Source organism: Homo sapiens, chromosome 9 (genome assembly GCF_000001405.40).
Source record: "Homo sapiens chromosome 9, GRCh38.p14 Primary Assembly".
Lineage (NCBI taxonomy): Eukaryota > Metazoa > Chordata > Mammalia > Primates > Hominidae > Homo > Homo sapiens.
In genome coordinates, this window is record NC_000009.12 from 114,497,642 (window position 1) to 114,522,220 (window position 24,579).

At 45.7% G+C, this 24,579-nt stretch overlaps 1 protein-coding gene across 29 annotated transcripts in view, besides 5 other annotated features; it reads right to left on the reverse strand.

Annotated features, from left to right (window-relative positions):
• The window catches only part of WHRN (whirlin), a 103,394-nt gene extending 95,562 nt beyond the window's left edge, over window positions 1-7,832 (reverse strand). For 19 of the 29 annotated variants that reach the window (XR_929757.3, XR_929750.4, XR_929749.3 and 16 more), the window contains exon 1: window positions 6,543-7,832. Coding sequence is in view for 20 of the 29 variants with exons in the window: in XM_047423169.1 (XP_047279125.1) it covers window positions 6,543-7,160 (618 nt within the window). In the remaining 9 variants the exon portion in view is untranslated. Of the gene's footprint in view, window positions 1-5,465; window positions 5,575-6,542 lie in introns of those variants that run through there. The other 10 variants (XM_047423168.1, XM_047423165.1, XM_047423164.1 and 7 more) reach the window with 2 other exon arrangements.
• Window positions 6,321-7,211: an enhancer, noted in NCBI's record as "H3K27ac-H3K4me1 hESC enhancer chr9:117266242-117267132 (GRCh37/hg19 assembly coordinates)". NCBI's record gives its function as "activates a minimal SCP1, AML or CMV promoter by ChIP-STARR-seq in naive H9 embryonic stem cells {active_cell/tissue: H9 hESC(naive)}" and the evidence as "EXISTENCE:reporter gene assay evidence [ECO:0000049][PMID:30033119]".
• Window positions 7,212-8,102: an enhancer, noted in NCBI's record as "H3K27ac-H3K4me1 hESC enhancer chr9:117267133-117268023 (GRCh37/hg19 assembly coordinates)". NCBI's record gives its function as "activates a minimal SCP1, AML or CMV promoter by ChIP-STARR-seq in naive and primed H9 embryonic stem cells {active_cell/tissue: H9 hESC(naive and primed)}" and the evidence as "EXISTENCE:reporter gene assay evidence [ECO:0000049][PMID:30033119]".
• Window positions 7,627-7,926: a silencer, noted in NCBI's record as "silent region_20213". NCBI's record gives its function as "represses an Ori minimal core promoter by ATAC-STARR-seq in GM12878 lymphoblastoid cells {active_cell/tissue: GM12878}" and the evidence as "EXISTENCE:reporter gene assay evidence [ECO:0000049][PMID:35858748]".
• Window positions 16,240-16,441: a silencer, noted in NCBI's record as "fragment chr9:117276161-117276362 (GRCh37/hg19 assembly coordinates)". NCBI's record gives its function as "represses an EF-1alpha promoter that drives an FKBP-Casp9 reporter gene in an ReSE screen in HepG2 liver carcinoma cells {active_cell/tissue: HepG2}" and the evidence as "EXISTENCE:reporter gene assay evidence [ECO:0000049][PMID:32094911]".
• Window positions 20,954-21,123: an enhancer, noted in NCBI's record as "active region_28868". NCBI's record gives its function as "activates an Ori minimal core promoter by ATAC-STARR-seq in GM12878 lymphoblastoid cells {active_cell/tissue: GM12878}" and the evidence as "EXISTENCE:reporter gene assay evidence [ECO:0000049][PMID:35858748]".

A 24,579-nucleotide genomic window follows, 5' to 3' on the forward strand; every position in this document is an offset into this window, starting at 1 on the left:
AATCAGGCTGCTGAAATAACCCACTTCTGGGGATGTGGTTTGAAAATTAAGAGCAAAGTGACAAATGAACTAGCTGAAAGGGTCTTGTAGAGTGGCTCTGGGCTTCAGGGGAGGAGAAAAGCCATTGAGTATCCAGGCACAGACCACATTTTTTTTAAAGGCTTTACACTCAAATAGCAGAGGGTTCCAAATGTTGCCACACCTAGTAGTCATTTGCTCCCCACAGCCACCTGGGAAGGAGGCAGGTGGGAGGTAGTTATGCCCATTTCACAGCTCCAAAGACTGAGGTTCAGAGATGTCACGTGAACTGCCCACGGCCACAAAGCCAGCTTGGTGGTAAAGCACACACTAGAGCCAGTGGCTTTTTTCAGTGTTTTTGTCTAGCACCCACAACGCTGCCATACACAGACTTCCATCAGATCTCACTCTCAGGAGCTGGGGAATTCTGAATTCACTAGCGCTGGATTAGGAGCAAGATCATTCCATTCATTCGGCAAATATTTATTTATATATTAAAGCACCTACTGTGTGCCGGGAGCTGGGGATGCGTGAATAAGCAAGGCAGATCAAATCTTGGTTATCCTGGAGCAAACTTGTAATGGGGGAGGCAGACCATAAAAAGACATACAGAAATTTCCTTTTAGCAGTGACAAATGGGCTGCAGGACACTAAAGCCAGGCAAAAGGATAGAGGAGTGGGCAGGTAGGGGTACTACTTCAGAGAGGGTGGCAGGGATGCAGAGGCATGAGAATGTCACAGCACTGTAAATGCTGGGTGACCTGTGGCCACGGATGGGTCTCTATCCCCCAAGGACAGAGGTCATGTCCTATTCATCTCTGATGTCCAAGTATCAGCCACAGGCCTGTGTGTGGTAAGCACTGCTCAGAGAATGTATGGATGCATGTCTCTACTCGACGATGGAACAGGCTGAAATACACCACTCTCCCTTGATATGTAGGTCTCAGACCGCCCCCCAACCTTAGTAAGGTGAAGTCTCTGGGTGGTTCTTAAAAGGCCCTCAAATGTCAAGTACAAAATGTGACATCTGCCACACTTTCTAGTAAGCGGACTGGCTGGCATTGTCTTCCAGGAGGCTGACTACAAAATCCTTGGGCTGGGGTCCAAGCAAGGAGGCCACTTGGTTCCTAATCCCAATGGGGACCTTAAGCTCCCCAGTTCCATCTCCTTGAGCATGACCCTCCTCGCCTGCCTGCCTCCCCTGGGGAAGGTTAAAGGGAACAGGAGGGACAAAGCACCCAGCACATAGTAGGTAATCGTTAATGTCAGTCTCCCCTGTTCCCAACAGGCTTCCAATAAAGTAAAGTGCAAGTGCAATGTAAATTACATACTCCAGGTGACAATGATGTGTCAATGTAGGTTCATCAATTGTTGATAATGGGGGCGGCTAGCATGTGTCCACTATATGGGAAATCTCTGTATCTTCTGTTCAATTTTGCTGTGAACCGAAAACTGCTTTAATAAATAGTCTATTGAAAAAATAAATAACCACAAGTGCACTTGCCCCATGATGCTGCTTCCTGCAGCTGACATCAGGAATGCACGGAAAAAGAATGGAGAGAAAGTGATTCCTATTCTCTGCACCCTTTCCGCTTGCCAGGCTTTAACAGTAAAAGGCCAATGTCAGCAGCACAAAATCTTAAAAATCACCCCTACCCTGGGGCATGATTAGAAGTCTGCGTGAGTTCAGAGTTAATATCAGATTCTTCCTCAGGAATTTAAAAAAGAAGTCAGTTTTGAAAGATTTGTATTTCAACCTCCAGATACCTCCAGCCATTTAATGTCATTCTTTCCAATCAGATTCGCTGGTCCTGGCTGAGGATTAGTCTGGGGTCCCTGAGAAGGGTAAACCAAAGGCTTCCCTTCCAGGTCATAAAAGAACCTTGCAAGAAATCACCAGTTGGAGCCTAATCCCCTATGGACGCCTGCTTCGGTGCAAAGCCCTTTGCAGGATGGAGGGGGGATTATGACTCTGAGGAGACTGTACATGTGATTCAAGCTTGAGCAGTCAGGCACATGAGCGAGGGGCTGCAGGCACTGACAGGTGCAGGCAGGCTGTGTACCGCTGGTGCGGCTGCCGGCAGGCAGAGTTGGAAAGCAGCAACACACGGACAATCCAATTGGTCGGGGGGTTAAAGAATCACACTTATCTTTGCAGCTCCAACCAACTGATGAATTGATGGCAAGTAATAAACAAAGCTGGGTTTGTCAGCAGAGGAGAATGACAGGAAAACAAGACACTAGCGCTGGTGTGGTTCTATATCTCTTTCATGTCCAGCTTCAAGTCAGGAGGCAATAATTTTCTATAAAAATACCGATTTTTTTAAGGGCATTCTCTTCCATCCTACAAAATGCTTCTTTGATTTAAAGAGTAAATAACCAGATGAAAGAGGATTTTGTCCTACCTAGGCATTAAATTTTCTAAAACCTTGAGCGTCAGCTTGAGCCTACTAAATATACAAGACTAAATTAAAGAAATGGATATGCAGCAGCCACAAATCTACTCAATAATGGGCTTATTAATAAGTGAGCTTTTCTACATGTCATTGCTGGCAGGACTCACAGGACCCAAGAGTGAAAACAGGGCCAGAGGAAGGTCTGTGCATGCCATGGTGCCACGGTTTCCAAACTGGACACAGGAACAAGACCGGGGCAGAAGCTACATTTCAGACATAAAGTTGGAAGAGGTAATAATTTGCAATGGCTTCAGCTAACCATGCACAATGGGAAAAGGACAATTGTGTCATTTAGAACGTGCTGGACTAAATATAATGTCTTATATTAACATGGACAGATTCTTTCCAGGTTATTATGCAAAGGGAGGGAGGGTGCAATCACTCTAATTAAATGAAATTACCGGCAACAGTTTTTAACTTCTGGAATATTTCAATTCTAATATGCTCCTTGAATCCACCCATGGGGGTGCTGAGGCCATAAGGAAGCCGTTTAATTTTTATTGAGATGAAACACACACATATATGCACATATCCCAGCAGTGCCCCGCTACCCTGTGTTCTGCTACCGCATAACCAGGAGATTCAGAAGGCAAGTGAGCAAGTGAATTTGATTTTGAATGCTCCCAGGGCGGTGCTGTTTGTGCCAGAATCCTATTGTTTCCTCATTTGCTCCGAAACAGCACCAGGGTTGGTGTTTGTGGGTCAAGAGACAGCAGTCAAGCTCTCGTCAGTACAGTGTATAACCCATCAATTTCCTGATATAGTAGGATGCTACACAAGAGTGCCAAGATCCTCATCTCCCAATCCTTAGCCAACTTTCCTTATTCTGCCTTAAATGAAAGCAATTTCAAAAGAACAAGAAGACATCAGATTAGACATTCTAAATGCCTCCTGTGTAGCACATACCAAGCAAATCACAGACTGTCCAAGCTGGAAGGGATCTTGGACAGCTCCTGGCCCATCCACCCTGGAACCCAGAGAGGGTCAGTGACTTGCCCAAGGTCACACAGGAAGTATGCAGCAGGGCCTAAGGCAGCATCCCTGGTCTGTGGACTCTCTGGCCAATTTATCAAGCACATTTGGCTAAAAACCTTTGAAAGGTCTACTTTTTTATTATTATTAGTTTGGCTCCTGTTCAAGATATTTTTTCAAAAATCAAACATTTCAACATAATTGCAAATAGTCCATGGCTTACCTTATCTGGACCTGTCACTGCTGATTTTGCAAATGGGTTTCAAGAGAGGGGTGGAAGCCCCAATGGATATAGGATCAAATCCTCACTGAACTGCTTCAGGTAACAATGGATGCTTGATTTATCAGAAAGAGAAGTGGAAAAAACTTTGCTCGACCCACTCTTTAAAAAGCTGCAACTTTCCTTTATTCATAAATTATTAGGTAACTTGATTCCTAAAATTTAATTTAATTTAATTTTTATTACACACACACACACACACACACACACACACACACACTGAATCTCTCCGTTTGGGAAGCTCAGAGGATCTCCTCCCCCTCACCCCACCTTCCATCGCAGGAAAAAAAATATTGTTAAGACTGAAAACACATCTTCTACTAAATGCAATGTGGTATCCTAGAATAAAATAAGGACATAGGCAGAAAAACTGGTGAAATTTGAATGAAGTCTGAAGTCCAGTTAACAGTAATGTACTTTTACCATAAAATCCCCGACATGGTGACTCGCAGCACTGCAGTTTACAAAGAACGGCTCCCCGTGGAGAAATCCTGGTTAAGGGCAGTCTGTGCCTAGTAGAAAAGCTGGGGCCTCTTTCAGCTTTCAGTTAAGGGGCTTTTCGCTCTTAATTTTGTGGAAATGTGTCAACAGTTCTCCAGGTGTTCTTTTAAACTGTCCCTGAAACTACACGAGGAGTGCCATGGCCTCAGGGAAGAAGTTCCGCCTCCTCCATTTTAAAATTCCACCCACCAAAGAAAAGTCTGTCCTCTTTTCCTCCTGGGGTTAATGTAACACAAAGCAGCCATCATTTTGCCTGTTGCTTCTGAAGGGTCCAAAGGGTCCATGTCAGGCAGGTTATGTGTCCCGCCATGGCTAGAAGTGGGGTGACCCTGGGGCAAGAGCTCATTTTGCCAATGTAGCCACCTCTGTTGGGAAAATGACAGTCAAGAGACAGAGCTGCTCAGCTCACACAGGCTCCTGCACCACAGGCTGCCACACTTAAAGGACAGCTCTGCTCCTATCAACCTCTCCCTTGCCAGCAAGGGTTTATTCTCAGGCTTCAAAAACTATGACATGGAGAGTTTAGGTTTTACTCTGGAAGCAGCAAGAGTAAACAAACAAGCTAAAGGCTGGTGCTGCTCTGAGTCACAGTTTAACAGCACCATGGTGTTACTGAGGGAGATTCAGAGAGAAGATCTGGAGCGGGCTCAATGAAATGGTGGTGGGGGAAGGCGGGGGTGGCAGGCGGGGAGCACTGCTGGTAAACTGAAACTCACAGCCAAGCAGCTTGACCTTTATGGCACAGCTGAGTCTGGGGTGCAAATTGAAGGGACAGTCTGCGTTTTGAATGCCCAAGGTAACTGACAGCCTTTCCAAAGCATATCACCTTATCACCTTGTGACCGTTAAGTTACCCAAGTCTTTTTAAATTGCCACTAAAACTGAATCCACATTTACAAATGATCATTTGCCTCAAGTATCTTTAGTGCATAAATTTATCATCTGGGAACTCCAGACCATTTAAGGCCAAGGCTAATGGACTACTTCTTTATAAATATATGGAATGCTAAACAAAGGGAAAAGATTGATAGAGGGGGAAGAGGAATTGTTGCATGGAAACTCACAACGAGCTTTGCCCACTGCACCCTGATGCAGTATAAACCGATCGGCCTTTTTCCAGAAGCTACAAAGAAGTTTCTGAAAGCCTCAAGGGCTTCCTCCAAAGGGGTTGATGGGCTGGGAAGCAAATGAGGGAAGCCAACATCAGGTGCACAGCCAGGGAGACGGCTCAAGACTCACCTGGACACAGGCCACTGAACGGCACTCAGGAGGAAGTAGTCGTGGGCCTCTGCTGCCTAGGAGTTTCCCAGCAGCCAGCAGGCCCTCAGCTGGAGTTCAAAACACCTGCGCTGGCGGGGAGTGGGGGTTTACAGAACAGTCCAACCCCCTGAGAAGCATTTCTCTGCAGAAGCAGAGCATGTGTCCCTTTTCCCCCAAACTCTTCACTTCTTGTACGCAAAGGAGGTCGGGGGAGGGGGGAAGGGGGAAAAATGCCTGCAAAGGATCCATGAATCCACCCTGGACCCAACACTATCCATCATACTCCAACTGGTTTTCAGTAGCCCTGGGCTGTAGATCAGTAAGCACACACACTCCTTTAAAAAGCATGATTAAATCCCTGGAAGCCTGTTGTCATGAGGTTATATTTCTCAATTAACAAATGGCAGAAAGGACAAACACTCTCAGGGGCTAGGGAATTTATTTTTTACATTCAGGCAGGAGTCTCATTTCCAAAAAGGTTAGGGACCGCTTATTTGGTCCAGTGGCCCCATTTTCCAAGTGGAGAACAAGAGGTCCTGAGAGGGCAAGTGACTTGCTTCAGGATACACAACCTGGTCCAAAAACAGCAGCGTCAAGCCAGTGCACTGTGGATCACACAAACGGCCTCCTCAGGCCACTTAAGAGCTAACAAAACTGTTTCAGGGAAAAACAAAAAACAAAAAACCACAGAATGGCAGTAGCAAAGGCCACCTAATTATGCCAAGCAGAGATTTTATCTCTTTTAATGCTCATAAGAATCCACAGCCCTATTCACACATTGTAACCACACATTTGCTCAAGTATTTGTTACTATCACCTGCACTAGCTTTTAAGCCTCACAAAGGCAAGGGCCATGTCTGTGCAGAACTACGTTCCCAGTGCCTGAGAGCTATTTGCTCTGTAAGCTATACATTCCTGTTTTAAAGTATTAAAAAAAAAAAAAAAGCCCAGAAAGGCCAAGTGATTCATCTAAGGACACACAGCATGGAGTTACTGAAAAAGCTGTGCCACTCTGTCCATACTCTGCCCCAGACTCTCTCCAAACCACAGCCTTACCTTGACGGCCTCCGCGTGGGTCACCCGGGCCAGGGATTTGTCGTTGACGCGCAGAATCTGGTCCCCGACCCGCAGTCCTTCCTTCTCAGCTAGAGAGCCTGGTTCCACCAGAGACACGTAGATGCCCACGCCGTGCTCCGAGCCCCCACGGATGCTGAAGCCCAAGCCCTCGTGGGCCTTGGCACGCCGCAAACTCACCAGGCGCACCTCCCCTGGCCCCGCGCTGTCGGGGCCGCCCCAGGCGGGCTGCCTGTAGGGGGTGGTGGCGGGCAGGTAGAGGCCCTCGGCCGTGTATTGGTCGAAGAGCAGCTGGTCGGAGCGCGGGATGACCAGACGAAGCATGGGCAGCAGGCGCCGCTTGACCGGACTGTCCAGCAGCACGCGCAGGGTGCGCACCAGGTCGAAGACGTTGCGGCGCGCGTGGTAAGCGTTCAGGCAGTGGGTGAACTGCTCCCGCTCCGCCTCGCTCAGCAGCGCGGTCAGCGCTTGGTGCAGCTGGCGCACGTTGGCAGACAGTAACCGCAGCCCCGCGCCCCCGCCGCCGCCCGCCCCGGCCGCCGAGCCCAGCGAGCCGGTGGAGGACGAGCTCACCGACAGGCCGTCCAGCGGCGCGTTCATCTCCACGCCGAGGCCCGGCCGGGCTCTGAGCGCGCGGGGTGTGGGCGGTGCCGCTGTCCTCGCGGGTACTGGCGCGACAGCTGGATCCCCGGGAGCGCGGAGACGACGGCTGGAGCCTGGGTTTGGGGAGCACGGGTACAGTGGCTGGATCCTAGGGGGTCGCGGAGACCGCTGCTAGAGTCCCGGAGGCGCGAAGACGGCGGGGGTCGCGAACCTGGAATCCGGGGGACGCGGAGACGTCGGCGGGTTCCTGAGAGACACAAGAGTTGGCTGCTGGAGCCCGGAGGTGGCGGAGACTGCTGCTGGAGTCCGGGGGGCGCGGGGTCAGCAGCTACATTCTGGAGGGCACGGAGACGACGGGTGGCTGGAGTTTGGGGGCGCCGCAAAGCTGACCTGACTGCCCCGTCACACCATGCCCGGGGCTCCCCCAGCCGGGCGCCCGTTCCTCTAGGGCTGGGGGACCCCAAAGTCAGAAGTTGGGGCGGAGGGCGCTCTAGTCCCAGAGCACTCCGGGGAGTGGCAGCCGGTGAAGCGGCGCGGGCGTCCGACAAGGGGTGCGGGGCATGTCCGGGGCAGCCCCGGGATGCAGCCGCCCGGGGAGCCTCCGCGCCTCTGCGCCGCCCGGCCGCAAGCCCGGACTTTGCGAACTGTTGAGCCACCCGGGCCGAGTCTTCCAGCGAGTTCCGACGCCGTCTCGTTGCCAGCCCGGCCCGGGCCCCGCCCCCTCGTCCCTCCTCCTGCCCGCCCCCTCCCCACGGGCTCCTCAGGAAATGACGTCCCGCCCGGTGCGCCTGGCCGTTGCCTGGAGACGGGGTGAAACAGTCCAGCCCCAGGGAAGAAAGGGGTGAACGCGGCGGTAGGGGTGGGAGGAGCCCCCGCGTCCCCTACCCCGCCGGCAGAGCCGGGAGCGGGGCTCAGAAACAGCGCTCTTCGGCGGTCGCAGCGAGTGCCGACACCAGGATCGCTTTGGAGTAATTAGCCGGCTAGCTAATTCACAATTCGGGGGGAAATCGTCAAGTTTTTTGTTTGTTTGATTTTTGCTTCCAAAATACTGGGCACTTCAGTCTCGGTTTTCTTCCTTACAATGTGGCGCTCCCCTCCTGCACGCGCCCTGACATGACAAATTCCAGGGTTTATGTGGACGGTCGTTGGCCACCTACTGTGTGCGAGAGACGAATACAAGCATAGACTGCTGTCTGCCGGAGTCAACTCCGTGGCAGGGATGGATCAGGCTGGACCCCTTCCCAGTCTCCATTGCAAGGGAAAAGCCACTTTCAGAAATATTATATAAAGTGTACACCCCACGCTCGCGCACACACGTACAAATGAGCGCATATAAAACTGGTGAAATCTGAGTAAGGTGGGTGGATTTTATCAATGTCAATGTCCTGGTTGCCATCGTGTCAACATCGGGGGAAACTGGGTGAAGGGTACATGGCATGTCTATGTATTATTTCTTAGAACTGCATTTGGATCTACAATCTCAAAATAGAAATTAAAAATATACATATTTGAAGTGGCTTGGAGAAAAATCTCTTCTATGCTCTCCCATCCCTAGGCAAAATGGGAAGATACACCCAGGTGTGCCCTGGAGTCGGTCGTCACCCACCCAATCCCCCAAATAAGATTTAAGTAAAATCCTGTGCTTTTATTCTAATGGGGAGCTTCATAGTGCTACACACACACACACACACATACACACACACACCCTACCTCACACACATCCCTTCCAACCTGAGCTGCCTCTCCTAAGCTACTCTTCTATGTATTTTTCGTAAAAGTCTTCCAGAATTTCCATTGCAGAGCCAGCTGACATCTATCCAGGGTAGGGCAAGATGGAGGATTACCTGGAGGATTTGGTTTGTGGTGGACCCAGAAGGATAGATCATTCATTTATTTATTTATTTATTTATTTATTTATTTATTTATTTATTTGGTCGCTTTTCATTCAACGTTTTTGAAGCATCTGCTCTGTGCTGGGTCATGTGCTGGGTGCTGGAGACCCAGGGGAGAAAGATCAAATAAATAGAGTTAAAAACCAGTGTGATACCTGTTGTAATGGCGAGGGAGCCCAGGTTTAGGAGAGGAGAATATGGTAAGGACTTTACTGAAGAGGCGACACCTGAATGAAGAACCTGTAAGGAAAACGGACTTTCTCCTCTAGACAATGGGGAAGAGTGGAAAGGTTTTCAACACTGCTGACTTAATGCATTGAGGCTAGGAATGGAAGCTGTGTTTTCCCTAAAGATCTTCAATTCTTTACTTCCCTAAAACAGACATAGGTTAAATTAATGCCCAATAAACATATTTAACAGTGTGTCTGAGGAAGATTTTTTAAAAAATAGCCAATTAGGCTACCTTTGGCCATCTGTCTTAAAGCTCTAATCTTAGCAGTTAATGGTGTCTATCCTTATTCCTCCTTTGTAACTGTTGTTGAAGCCTTTCATGCAACTAGACCAAGATGTTTAAGGAAAAAAAATCAATCTTCTCCACCCCAAAAATGTATTAATGACATACCTCAAAATGCCACCAAGCAGGGCTTAATTGTATGCAGTTCAGGTTTCCTGCTAATGTGTTTCATGCTCAGCTCTCACTTAGTTTGTTTTAATTATAATTACTGTGATTGGTTTGATAAATGCATCCCAGGAGCTAAGATCCCCAGTCCCAACATTTTATTTCTGTGCAAAGGATGTTTTCAAGAAGGTGTTTTGCTTTAGGCAGCAGAAACCAGGCTGCATGCAGTCTTAGTAGAAAAAGAAACACTTTCTTCTGCAAACATCAGAGACCGTCTGAAATGCTGTGCTGTTGTTTAATTTCATAGAGGACGGTTTGGGAGGGCAGATGATAGAAAAAGAAATCGTTGGAGTTTCTTCCATCCATCTTACATAACCACCTTAGTATCAGTTTGCACTGTGTCCCCTCAGGCAAGAGGCAGTGTGTAACTGTGCTCAAACCTCCAGAATCCTATTTCATGTATGAAGATGTTTGTCATTCAGAAATAAGCTCTTGGAAATAAATGCTTCAGCTTCTGAGGGCTGCACTGCAAGACCTGGGAGAAAAACCTGAGTACACAACTTGCCCTTGGTTGCATACTGCCCTCTTCAGAGGGAAAATATTATTCTCCCATGCATGCAGCAGGCTTCCGTTTGCTTTCTTCACCAAAGCCACTTTTAATTGTTCATTAACGCTCCCCAGCTCTGGCCAGTGAATGCCCTTCCCTTCCCTTAGGAATGTTCCTGGAAACTTGAACACACTGGAGCAGTTGAAAAGACAGAAGGAAGAAGAATAAATTGTGTTGGGCGTTTTTCTTTTTCTTTTTTTTTCTAGACGGTCTCATTCTGTCACCCAGGCTGCAGTACAGTGGCATGATCATGGCTCACTGCAGCCTCCACTACCAGGCACAGTATCCTCCCACCTCAGCCTCCTGGTTAGCTGGCACTGCAATGCCTGGCTAATTTTTTGTATTTTTCATGAAGACAGGATTTCACCATGTTGCCCAGGCTGGTCTCGAACTCCTGGGGTTAAGCAATCCATCCACCTTGGCCTCCCAGGGTGCTGGAATTACAGATGTAAGTCACCACAGCAGGCCAGTGGTTTAGTTCCTATGTGTTGATTTTAACCAAGAAGTTGAGCTGCACTCTGGATACCAGGCAGAAAACCATTATTCCAGTCTCAGAGCTTCCCTTTAACTAGTTGTGTGACCCCACAGCAAGTGGCTTCACCTTTCATTTGTAAAATAAGGCTCCCAAACGTCCTGCCTCCCCAACATCCTGCCTCCCCAGAAGACAACTGCAACCTGTATGTTTCATGTTCTGTGCAGCAAATGAAAACATGTTGCAACTCATGGAGTAACATAGAGTTATTTTCCCTCTTTGTTATGTCAATCTTAAAAAGTCTTTTGCTAATAAATATTTCATAGTCATTGGAAGTGTCTCTCCTTTCCCTTTATCTGCTGGAATGTACCTTTAAAAGCAATGGAGATGAATTTGAGGTGCCTTTGCCATGGGACATACAGAAAAATAAAGCTAATGTTTATTGAGTGTCAAACTGTTTTAGACGCTTGTATTTTAACTCATTGTGTCCTCCCACTACTCTGTAAGGGAGATACCATCATCATCACCACCATCATCATCATGCTCCTGGTGAAACAGACAGGACATTGAGACATAGGGAAGTAACCATACCCAAATTTACAGAAGTAGTGAATGGAAGAGTTGGGATTTGAACCCAAACAGTCTGGCCGCAGAGCTCCTACTTTGAACCCCTGTGCTGTGCGATCCCCCCAATGTTTGGCTCAGAAATGCTGAACTGTCTCAGTATCTCTGCTGGGGCTGGTATGAGGACCACATTTTCCCATGGATGGGAATGGTATGAGGGTCACTCTTTCTCTAGAAAATTTGGCTGGGAATATCAAAGGTTAAAAACAAGCTACATATGAACGATTCCTGTTTCATAAGCTGACATTTTGTGGTGGAAGGAATGAACAGGGGTTTAGTCAAGAAGATGTCACTGGGAGAGATGGAGAGGATCTGGGGATGCCTCAGGGTTCTTAGCCTGATAGCAGGAGGAAGAAGAGGCTCAAGGTTGTCTAATGCCGGGTGTCATAAGGAACCTTTTCCAGCTCTGGGATCCCTGGAGAAAGGATGTTAGCAACTGGAGTTATCACTTCTGCTCCAGGACCACAACCTTCCTCTTCCTTGCAATGTCAGTGGGAATGATATCAGCAACGAAAAGAGAAGCAGTCGCCTCTATGAGTAGTAGATAATGCAGACAATATTGATGGAAGTGCAGGGAGATAAAAGAAAGGCGAGAAAAAGAGAAAGCACAAAAATATCGGGAAAAGAGGAGAGATACCGGTATTTATCTTGGCCTAAGTGTAATCTCCTGAGTCTGTCTCATCATTATGGAGAATCGTATTATGTTTGTGCAAGAAAGGGAGTTAGAGCACAGAGTTGATCTCCAGGTTCAAATCCCATCTCTGCTATTCACAACCTTTGTGACCTTGGGCAAATCACGGAGGGCTTTTTTGTACCTGAATTCCCTTACCTCTAAAACAAGGACAGTTGTGCTGTCATCAGTGTTATTGCAAATATTGATTTTGCTCTTATATGGAAAGTGTTTTTCAATATGACTTGCACATACCAGGTGCTCCTACAATGCTTGACACACTTCTCAAAGCTCTTACCACACAAGAGCACCTCAAGGGCGAAGCCACAGCTCCTTTATCTCTCTGTGCCCAGTGTTCAGCCCAAGGATGAGCCCACAGTAGATCCTCAGCAAGTATTTGCTGAATGGTTCCTTAGACTCCTCCCTCTCCCATTCTTGTATTACATATGGGACGCTCAGGGGCCAGAGAAGGTTGCTGTCTTGCCCATAGCCCTGCCGGTAGCCAGTGGTGCCTGTCCCAGGCCTTTTCCTCCAGGAAAATGTGTTGAGTGATTGCAGAGGGCTAAGCACTTTATAGGCATTGTTTCTCTTAATCCCCAGAATCCTGTGAAAAGAATACTATTATTACCACCACTGTACAGATGAGGAAACTAAGTGTCCAAGCTATGAGTTGTTTCTCCAAAGTCTGCTCTCACTACATCTTATAGTAAGACAGGTGGAACTGATGCCAATTTCTCTTATACAGCTTTGGGGGAAATAGCAGACTATTATGATAGCAAAAATAAGTTGCAGGGAGCTGATTTGTGGGCTGGAAAGAGGCAGAGCAGTGGAAGCGACCTTATCAGGCATGTCGTGCTGTAATCCAATTGCTACGAAGTCTGTTAAGAGCGTCTTAAATCAGGGGATTAGGTATTGGTTACACTGGGACACTCACTCCAACACCAGCTCTGTTCTGATTAGAGAAGCCCCTAGCAAAATCATCCTTGCCATGTACACATCAGCATGGTTCACTGGGGCATCCATTCATGCATTCATTCCTTTCATTCATTCAGATGGTACTTAGGTCCCTCTGCTCTGCCAGACTACATTCTGGGGATTCAGCAGGAGCAAGACCGCCATGGTCCCTGCCCTCCTGGAGCTGATGGTCAGGAGCTGTCTCATTGTGTGCATCAAATGTGATGATGGGTGACTGGATGCAAGCCCTGTGAGGTGTGAGGTAAGGGTCCCAGGCAAGGCTTCCCAGCTGGCATCCTCTTATCTGAGCCTCAGCCTCCAACCCATTTCAGCATCAGAGCACTATGGTCAGTACTGCAGATGGACTTGGTTAAATAATCCCTGCTTATTAACCTTGGAGGAATCGAATAATCTCCCTGAGCCTCAGTTTTTTCATCTATTAAAAAAAAAAAAGAGCTTGGCCGGGTGTGCTGGCTCACGCCCGTAATCCCAGCACTTCGGGAAGCCAAGGCGGGTGGATCACCTGAGATTGGGAGTTCGAGACCAGCCTGACCAACATGGAGAAACCTCGTCTCTACTAAAAATACAAAAATTAGCCGGGTATAGTGGCACGTGCCTGTAATCCCAGCTACTCAGGAGGCCGAGGCAGGAGAATCACTTGAACCAGGAAGTCAGAGGTTGTAGTGAGCGGAGATCACGCCACTGCACTCCAGCCTGGCGACAGAGTGAGACTACTCCATCTCCCCACAAAAAAAAGAGCTTAAAGGGGGTGGATGGAAGGTTAATGAAGAGAACACACGTAAAGCACATTGCACAGTGGCTAGGAAGTGCTTAATGGAAACTTGGAAAAGGTGGGAACATGGAACAAGGGGCAGCTCTGGGCTGGTTATAAGAAGTATGGTACTTTGAGAAAATCGCTCCTTTGCTTTGCCTTTCTATATAGCTCCCATCAAACATTTTTTTAATAGTGAGATGTCTCACTTTCCATGGAATTGCCTCATTTTCTCACTGATCCTTAAGGAAGCTTTTTTCTTTGTTTTGTTTTTAACTTTAGCCTTCAGGGCATTATGAAAATGTAATGCTGTTCTCGGACCCTCTGTATAGTGTTGGTCAAGTTCATTCTCTCCAGCTTCAGCCTTCCCATTTGTACAATGAGGGGATTGGAGGTGGTGGTCTGCAGGCCTCTCTTGCTCTAAGGATTATGTTTTTGTTTCTATAGCAGAGGAAGAGGTAGGGGAAAGGAAGAAGAGGAGGACAGGAGGTGGGGGGTATGAAACGTTTTCTGGGAGTTCTGGGCTGAGACAAATTGAGAATTCTGTCCCTGGCTCCACAGCTGACTGATGACTCTTCCTTTGACTGGTTTGTGGCTCTTAATGTCTCTTTGTCTCTGGGTTTCAAATAGCAGCTAATGGTCCTAGCTGCCTTTCAGCCAGTTGGTGATTTTTGCTTTTGACTTTGACCATCTTCAAAGACACTCGACACACATTTTTATTACATTTACAGGGCCCGGCACGCCCAACTACTTGGCAAATTGTGTCAAAGAATCTATAACTGTTACGGAAGAATGCTTTCTGTCTGCATTCTTCTTCATTCTTTGGAAATATGATATTCTCATTGACCTTCTATGAAGGTCACAGTAAATGACGTTTCAACATCCTAAAATTATAGTCTTTTTTTCAAAGCCATGTGGAACCTTAAAGATCTATTCATCTTTTTCATTCGACAAACAGTTTATCAAGTGCCTACTGTGTGCCAGGCACTGTGTGTGGGCTGAAAAACTGAACTCTAGTCATTGTTCTTATGGCTCTCATCTAATTGGTAGTAACATATAAAGAATAATACTGGCTGTGTGCTGTAATAAAGTGTATTAGTAACCTGTTGCTATGTAACAAATTGTTACTCACTTGATTGCCTAAACAATATGCATTTATTACATCCTGGTTTCCATGAGTTAGGAGTCAGGGCAATCGTTAGCTGTTTCCTCTGCTCAGGATCTTGCAGGGCTGCAATCAAGGTGTTGGCAGGGCTCTGTTCTCATTTGAAATCTTCACATGGGGAGGATCCACTTCCACGCATGCAATCAATGGCAGAGTCCATCTCTGTGACAGTATGACTGAGGGCCCACCTTTTTCCTGGCGGTTGGCTGGAAGCCTCTCTCTATTTCAAGAAGTTACTCACGTTTCACCATGTGGTCCACCCACGTTAGTTGACACCTCGAAAACCACAAGGGGGTCTCTCTATCTGCTAAGATAATGCCTTGTACAACATATTGTAATCATACGAACAACATCCCATTGTTCTCATTGACCTTCTATGAAGGTCACAGTAAATGATGTTTCAACATCCTAAAAGTATAGTCTTTTTTTCAAAGCCAGGTGGAACCTTAAAGATCTATTCACCTTTTTCATTCAACAGTATATCAAGTGCCTACTATGTGCCAGGCACTGCGTGTGGGCTGAAAGAGCTGAACTCTACTCAGTCTACTTTATGTGGCAAAGATGCATAAAGTAACCTAAGCAAGGGAGGGCCATCCCATCACCTTTACTATATTCTATGGGTTAGAAGCCTGTCTGTCTACACTGAATGGGAGGAGAATACACATGCGTGTGACTCACTGGGCGGGGGGGGTCCCCTTAGGGTGTGTCCATCACACAGAAAATGTCAAAGTATAACAAGTGACCAGAGGAAGAAGCAACAGATTCTTCCAGGAGAGGTCAAAAAGACTTTCTGAAAGAGGGAACACTTGAAGGATGACACCTGAGTGAGTAAAGGGTCACCAGGTGGGCAAAGTGGGAAGGACACTCTAGGCAGAGGAACAGCGTGAGTGATGACACAGAAGCAAGAAAGAATGCAGTATGTTCAGGAAACGAAGGAAGTCCGGCATAACTGAACATAGCAAGTAAATGGCCGGAGATTTGGCTGTAGAGGAAGTGGATTATGACAGACATGGAATGCTGGGCTAAGCAATTTTGACCTTATTCTAAGAGCAACGGAGAACCATCAACTGGCAGGTGCAGGTTCTGATTTTTCCTGGAGGAGTATCAGGCACCTTCTCTAACAGCCCTGAAAGATTTATAGATGCACTTGGACTCCATAAAGATCCACAGTGACAGTAGCACTTCTTCAACAGCATGATAGACATCAGAGCTTGCTAAAAATATGTCTGAGCCACCACAGCGTACCAAACCACAGACTGTTTATGTAGGAAGGGGCTGTCAAAATCCATATAGGCCAATGACTGCCTTTTCTCCTCACTGCAGTTTGATGCAGTTTGGCAGATGTGGCAGGCATCAGAGTCACACTGCCGGGGGTTTAAATCCTGGTTCTGCCACTTGCCAGCTTGAAAGACCTTGAATGACTGACCCCTCTGGTTCTGTTTCCTCAGTCATTCAATGAAGGTAACAGAGGATGCAGTGAAGAGGAAATGCAGTTATATATGCCAAGCACTCATTTGGCATACAGTGTGTGTGTTAGTTTGCTAGGGCTGTGTATTAGTCTGTTCTTGCACTGCTATAAAGAAATACCTGAGACTGGGTGATTTATAAAGAAAAGCGATTTAATTGGCTCATGGTTTTACAGGCTGCCCAAGAAGCATACTGGCTTCTGCTTCTGGGGAGGCCTTGGGAAATTTACAATCATGGTGGACAGCAAAGGGGCAGCAGGCACATCTTACATGGCTGGAGCAGGAGGGAGAGAGAGGGGGAAGTTGCTACACATTTTTTTTTTTTTTTTGAGATGGAGTCTCACTCTGTTGCCCAGGCTGGAGTGCAGTGGCGTGATCTTGGCTCACTGCAACCTCCTTCTCCTGGGTTCAAGCAATTCTCCTGCCTCAGCTTCGTGAGTAGCTGGGACTACAGGCACACGCCGCCATGCCCGGCTAATTTTTTTTGTATTTCAGTAGAGACAGGGTTTCACCGTGTTGTCCAGGCTGGTCATGAACTTCTGAGCTCAGGCAATCTGCCCGCCTTGGCCTCCCAAAGTGCTGGGATTACAGGCATGAGCCACCGCACCTGGCCAGTGCTACACACTTTTTAACACCCAGATCTCATGAGAACTCTATCACCAGAACAGCACCAAAGAGATAGTACTAAACCATCTGCGAAGGATCCACCCGGATGATCCAATCACCTCCCACCAGGCCCCACCTCTAACATTGGGGATTCCAATTGAACATGAAGTTTGGGTGGGGACACAGATCCAAACCATATCAGGCTGCCGTAACAAAATACCATGGACTGGGTGACTTAAACAACAGACATTTATTTTCTCACAAATCTAGAATCTTGAAGTCCAAGATCAAGGTGTCAACAGGGTTGGTTTCTTCTGAGCCCTCTCTCCTTGGTTTGTAGACAGCCTTCTCCCTGTGTCTTCACATGGTCTTTTGCCTGTTTATGTGCCCATGTCTGTGTCCAAATTTTCTCTTCTTATAAGTCATATTGGATTAAGGCTCACCCTAAAACATCATAACTACCTCTTTAAAGGCCTTATCTCCAAATATAGTTACATTCTGAGGTCCTCAGGATTAGGACTTCCACATATGAATATGAGGTAAGGGAGGACATAATTCAGCCCATAATAGTATGTATATTCCCAACTAATGTTAGATGCTTCCTCCTCCAGCTCCAATTGGTGAAAATCTTTATGTCCCAATTCCAGGCACGACTTCTCAGGCTCTCCTATCCTAACTATTCTATGAGAACTAGTTTGTGTCATGAAAAACCTTCCATAAGGACGTGCATTTGTTCCTTGCTCTGTGCATGACAAAAAACAAAAAAACAAAAACAGCAACAACAGCCCTGGTGCTATCCTAACACTGTTGGAATGTGCCTAACGAGTCACTTGAATAACCTTTCTTTAATTTAATCCAATGGCAGTAATTTTCTGGAACACACCGTTACAAGGGAGCAGTATGATCTCCAGGGCTTTTTGTTGTCTAATTAAAAGGCACTGTAGCAAGAAGGAGTTTGCAGTTGCCTTTCAGAATCTGATTTTGGAGTTGGAGAAAATGAGGATTTTTTACTGGACTGTGAGGAGGTTAGGAAGGGTGGCCGGCCCAGGGAGACTGTGGAAGCTTTTGCTGGTCATGTGGCAAAGGCTTTGTGCCATTGTTTTTGCTTGTCAGAAAAAGCCAAGGTCACTCCACTGTCTGGGAGTCCTCTTTCCTTTTAGGTGATGGACAACGAAAGCCTGACCATGGGCTAAGAGCCTCACTGGCTGAGGAATTTCATGGGGCAGGGGTGGCTGCTGATCCATTTACAAAATTAACTCATTCATCAGCACTGTCTTACTGAACATTTATTAGGTGCTAATGGTGGGCATAAAGGTAAAAATAATTGACATTTATAAATATCTATAGATTACAGGTTCTTAATGTGGGGATCATGACTTCAGAGCACCTGTGACGTCTCAGAAATTGTGCACCGTATCTGTGCTTGTGTGCGTATCAATGTTTCATTTTTCTAAATTCTGTGGTCCATGACCAAAAACATTGAGACCTCCTTATTCTAAATAATACTTGCTTCAATTTACTGAGAGCTTACTTTATCAGATACATTATGTTCCTTTCTTCATTTAAGACTCATGTCAATTCTCCAAGAATTCCTGTATCATCCCCATTCAACAGATGAGGAAACTGAGGCTGGGAGGCTAAGCTTTTAAAAGGCAAAGCTTGGGTTTCATCCAGTCATACAACAAACTTTTATTGAATATCCCTGCTCTAGAGGAAGAGTTAGACAACTGCAATACAATGAGGTGGGTGCTCCAATAGAGGAAGGTAGATGGGGCACAGAGGGAGCACCTGACCCAATGTGGAGGTTGGAAGTCAGGAAAGCTTCCTGGAGGAGTGAATGCCTGCACTGAGTCTTAAGGAGAAGGCAGGTAAAATAGTTGGGAAGGGGACTCCGGAAGTGAAGACTAATTTGTGTCTGGGAGTGTGCCAGTTCAAGAAGGGAGAGAAACACAGAAACACAGATCTGACCAAGGTCTTCTTTTTTTTTTTTTTTTTTTTTTTTTTCAGAAACCTCATTCAACCAGTAAACCTCAGAAATGATATTCAGCCTCACTTGTGATCAGAGAGTTGCAAGTTAAAACAACATTGAGATACCATTTCGCACATACCAGATTGGCAAAATCAAAATAACTGACATTACCAAGTATTGGCAAGGTTGTGGTGCAAAAGGAATGTGCTTACAGGGCTGGTGGGAGTATAAATTGGCAGGACCACTGTGGAGAGCTGCTTGGCAGCATCTAGTAGGCTTGAAAAAATGCCAACTCTAGACCTGGTGGCTCCGTATCTTGGTATATTTCCTGGAGGAAACTCTTACACATTTGTACCAGACATGTGTCCGTTGGTTTCTGCTATGTAACAAACCATCCCAAAATGCACTGTCTAACCATCACCGGTTTAGCTCACACTTCTGTGAGTCAGCTGAGCTTTTTCATGGGTCTGCGGTCAGTTGGAGGCTCAGCTGGTAGCTGAATGATCTAGGAAGCCCTTACTCACTTGCCTGTCAGTTCGCTGGCAATTGGCTGGGGCTACGGGAGCAATTGGTCTACACATCCCTTGTCATCCAATTGATGTCACAATTAACACCTTTGCCTGGGAGATAGGAGATGCCTCGAATAAATGGGAGCTGAAATCACACTTTCTGCAGGATGAACTGATAACATGAATTAGAAAAACGCAGCCTTCAATTGCTTTTCTTTTCCTTGTAACAGTTTTATTGGAGTATTGTTCAAGTACCATACAATTTACTCACTTAAAGTGTATAGTTATATGGTTTTTGATATATTCCCAGTTGTGCAATCAATTCTAGAACATTTTCATCACCCCCAAAAGAAGCCCCATACCCTCTAGCCATCATCCCCCATAATCAACCCCCAGCCCTAAAATGCCACTTACTTACTGTGTCTAGAGATTTGCTTATTCTGGACATTTCATACAAATGGAGTGATTCAATATGTAGCCTTTTGTGACTGGCTTGTTTTTTTTGTTTTGTTTTGTTTTGTTTTTGTTTCTGTTTCTGTTTGTTTGTTTTGAGATGGAGTCTTGCTTTGTAGCCCAGGCTGGAGTGCAGTGGCATAATCTCAGCTCACTGTAAACTCTGCCTCTCAGATTCAAGCCACTCTCCTGCCTCAGCCTCCCATGTAGGTAGGATTACAGGCCCCTGCCACCACATCTGCTAATTTTTGAATTTTTTTATTAGAGATGGCTTTTCACCATGTTAGCCAGGCTGGTCTAGAACTCCTGACCTCAAGTGATCCCAAAGTGCTGGGATTACAGGTGTGAGTCACCGAGCCTGGTCTTTTCCTTTTTTTTTTTTTTTTTTTTTTTTGAGACAGGGTCTTGCTCTGTCACCCAGGCTGGAGCACAGTGGCACCATTATGGCTCACTAGCTCACTGTAGTCTCTACCTTCTGGGCTCAGGCAGTCCTCCCGCCTCAGCTCCTTGAGTGGCTGGGGCTACATGTGTGCACCACCACATTCAACTAATTTTTTTACTCTTAGTAGAGCCAAGGTCTTGCTATATTGCCCCGACTGGTCTTGAATTCCTGGGCTCAAGCAATCCTCCTGTCTTGGCCTCCCAAAGTGCTGGGATTACAGGTATGAGCCACTACATCTGGCTGTGACTGGCCTCTTTCACTTAGCATAATGTCTTCAAGATTCATGCATGTTGTAGTATGTATCAGAACTTGTTTCTTTTTCATGGCTGAATAATATTCCATCATATGTCTTTGCCACATTTTGTTTATTCATCAGTTGATGGACATTTGGGTTGTTTCCACCTTTTGGCTACTATGAATAATGCTGCTATGAATATTTATGTATATGTTCTTGTGCAGACAAATGTTTTCATTCCTCTTAGTTATATACCTAGGATTAGAACTGCTGAGCTGTTTAACCATTGATAACCATAGACACCTCTATGGTTAACCATTTGAAGAACTGCTAGACTGTTTTCCAAAAAGGCTGCAATAAGTCTTAGAGTTTATAGCCTTCAAGAGTCAACCTTTTGAGGCCTTTCAATCTAACATCTGCTTGTGTTACTTTCAGTTTCTTCCTTGTTGTTATTGATGGTTTCATTTCTTTGTCAGCTTTCTACCAACCAGCATTCAGATGCGATGTGGCTTCAGGCCCAGAAAACTCACAGTTTTGGGGCAGCTCTGTCTATTCCACCCTTTGGACTCTGAGGCCCTGACAAGATTGAGGAACTGCAGCTCCCTCGCCTGCACACTTTCGCTGGCTCATGGGGAATCTTTCTGTTCCCAGTTCCATTTCATTCCTGTTCCCTCTACTGTAGAGCCTTCCTTAGCTCCGCCCTCTCCTCCACCCAGCCAAGGGAGGGGGGTTCCTGGGGGTCATCCAACCAACTCTCCATTTCTTGCTGGGGACTCTGAGGCAAGATAGGGTGGTTGTGGTGTCCTAGGTTAGAAAATAAGTTGATGGCAGAATTTGACAGAATTCCAAGTTTCTTTTTTTCTTCTTATTATAGAAGTAATGTGTGCTTATTGTACAAAAATTTGAAAATAGATGTAAATAGATGCAAAAAGAATAAAAACACATTTTTTGGAAAAAGATCACCCCTAATTCCCCCCACTATAGAAAATAAATGCAAACGTTTTGGGTGTATAGCTTTTATTTATGTAATTATCCATTCATTTATTCAGTGTGATATTGTGATTTATAATAAGAAATATATTTTTTGGTCTTTGACCCCAATTCCTGACACAGAGCTGCTAATCCCTTGGAATTTCCTGGATGATAGAAGCATATTTTGTTCTAATGAGGCAGCTCTTAGTGGGTTCCTGAATGGAGGTGGTCGCCAGAAACATGAAACCGTGATTAGAAGCTCAGAACTTTCAGCCTCACACTGCCTACCCGTATCCCCCAGGAAGGGAAGAGGAGCTGGAGACTGAATTAATAATCTACCATGTGATAAAACTCCAAAAAATCCCTGAACTATGGGGTCCAGAAAGCTTCTAGGTTGCTGAACACAGGAAGGTTCTCAAAGGGTGTCAAGCCCACAGAAGACGTGGAAGCTCTGCACCCCTTTCCCACATACCTTGACTTGCGTACCTCTTCCTCCACTATTTGTCTATATCCTTTGTACCATCCAGTATAATAAACTGGTAAGCATAAATACATGTTTCCCTGAGTTCTGTGAGCTGCCCTGGCAAAGATCAAAACTAAGAAGGAGGTTGTAGGAACCTCCGATATACAGCTGGTTGGTCAGAAGCGCAGGTGATGGCGTGGACTTGTGATTGGTGTCTGAAGTGGGTGGCAGTCTTGTAAGACTGCACCCTTAACTTGTGGGGCTTGTGTTAACTCCAGGTAGATAGTGTCAGAATTTAATTGTATCGTACGACACCCAGCTGGTGTTGGAGAATCCGTCTGTGTGGGAAAAAAACTCACATATCTGGGGCCACAGAAGTGTTAACTGTGAGTATAAAGAAAAATTCATTTTTCCTATATACATTCAGTAAAGGTTTATTGGGTGTCTACCAATTGCTAAGTACTTTATCAAACCCTGGGGACTTTTTTTTTTTAATATACGTAGGTATGTAAATATATACATCTTTCCCTACAAAAATGGAATCATCATTATATAGATATTATATATAATTTGAATTTCTCTATCATACCAACAATATGTGGTCAGTCTTTTTCTATGGCAATGCAAATAAATCTACGTCATTCTTAATGACCATTTAGAATTTACCATGATTTCTTTAAGCAATCCTCTGTTATCAGACACTTCAATATTTTAACTTTCTCTTATTGTCAGCATAGCTATAATAAACAATCTTTTGTCTTCTTAACTCTTCAGATAAATTCATAGAGACATAGTAGCTGGCCAAAAGTATATTCTTTTCTAGAGGCTATTATTGATACTTTTTGCCAGCACCTATCAAAAAGACTTCATAGGTAGCGTCTCCCATCAGGAGTATGTAAGAATGCCTATTACCCACTCCTTGTGAACATTCTGCTAAGCCCTGGGGAACTTATTCTTTTTATTCTTTTCCAATTTGAAAAGCAAAAAAATTGGTTGTATGTGTTTCCTTGGGCTACTGTAACAAAGTATCACAAACTGTGTGCTGAAAAGAACAGAAAATGTATTCACAGTTCTGGAGGCTAGAATTCTAAACTCAAGGTATCAGCAGGGCCATCCTGCCTCTGAAACCTGCAGGGAAATCATTCTTGGTGTCCTTCTGGCTTCAGGTGTCTTCCTAGCTTCTGGTGGCTTGCTGGCAATCTTTCGTGTGCCTTGGCTTGCAGCTGCATTGCTCCAATCTCTGCCTTCATTGACATTCGGCTTTCTCCCTGAGTGTCTCTGTCTTCACATGGCCAGCTTCTTATTAGACACCCATTGGCCAGGCACGGTGGCTCATGCCTGTAATCCCAGCACTTCGGGAGGCAGAGGCAGGCAGATCACCCAAGGTCAGGAGTTCAAGCCCAGCCTGGCGTACATGGAGAAACTCTGTCTCTACTAAAAATACAAAAATTAGCTGGGTGTGGTGGCACATACCTATAATCCCAGCTACTTGGGAGGCTGAGGCAGGAGAATCGCTTGAACCCGGGAGGCAGAGGTTGCAGTGAGCCAAGATCAAGCCACTGCCCTCCAGCCTGGGTGATGAGAGTGAAACTCCTTCTCAAAAACAAAAAAACAAAAATCAACAAAAAATAAAAAACACGAAACCCATTTTGTTGGATTAGGGGCCAGTTCTACTCCAGTAGGACCTCATCTTAACTAACTGCATCTGCAATGACCTTATTTCCATATTTCCAAATAAGGTTACATTCTAATAAGATACTGGGGGTTCGGATGTCAACATACCTTTTTCTCTTTTTTTGGCAGAGGAAGACGCAATTCAATCCATAATATTGGTAATGCATGACTTTAACATTTGTTTTCTGTCCCAGCTACTCAGGAGGCTGAGGTGGGAGGATCATTTGAGCCCAGGACTTTGAGGCCAGCCTGGTAACGTAGCGAGACCTTGACTCTTTAAAAAAATGTTTTTTGATTCCTGAAAAGATTAAGCATTTTTCCATATATACCTTTGTTCATTTTTCTACAATAATCTTTGTCTTTATTTACTTTTAAGAACTCTTTACAAAATAAAAATATTCACAACTAAACCCTAGGCTCTTTTCCTCTTTTACTCAATCTCAAACACAGCAAAATGTGTCCAGACTTTGGAGTATTTTTAAATTGTCAGAGTATAGCTTGCCTTGGGTGCTGCTCTCTGCCTACTGGCATGGGGAGAGAATCCTCTTCTTATGGCCCCAGCTGGGGAATGTGACATTTGTGACTTCTGTATTAATCAAAATAGGCTAGATTATGCCACATTAAAAAAATGACCCCAGAAATCTTGGTGAGTCACAGCACAAATATTTATTTCTCACTCAGACCACATGTTCACTGCAGGTTGGCTAAGACCCTGCCCTGCACCATTACTCCAAGACCCAGGCTCCTATTGGAGCTCCCATCTGGGACATTAGCATCAGGAAAACAGAAACTATACTGTGACTTTAACAGAGAGAATTTAATATAGGAAATTGTTTTCATGAGCACTAGAGG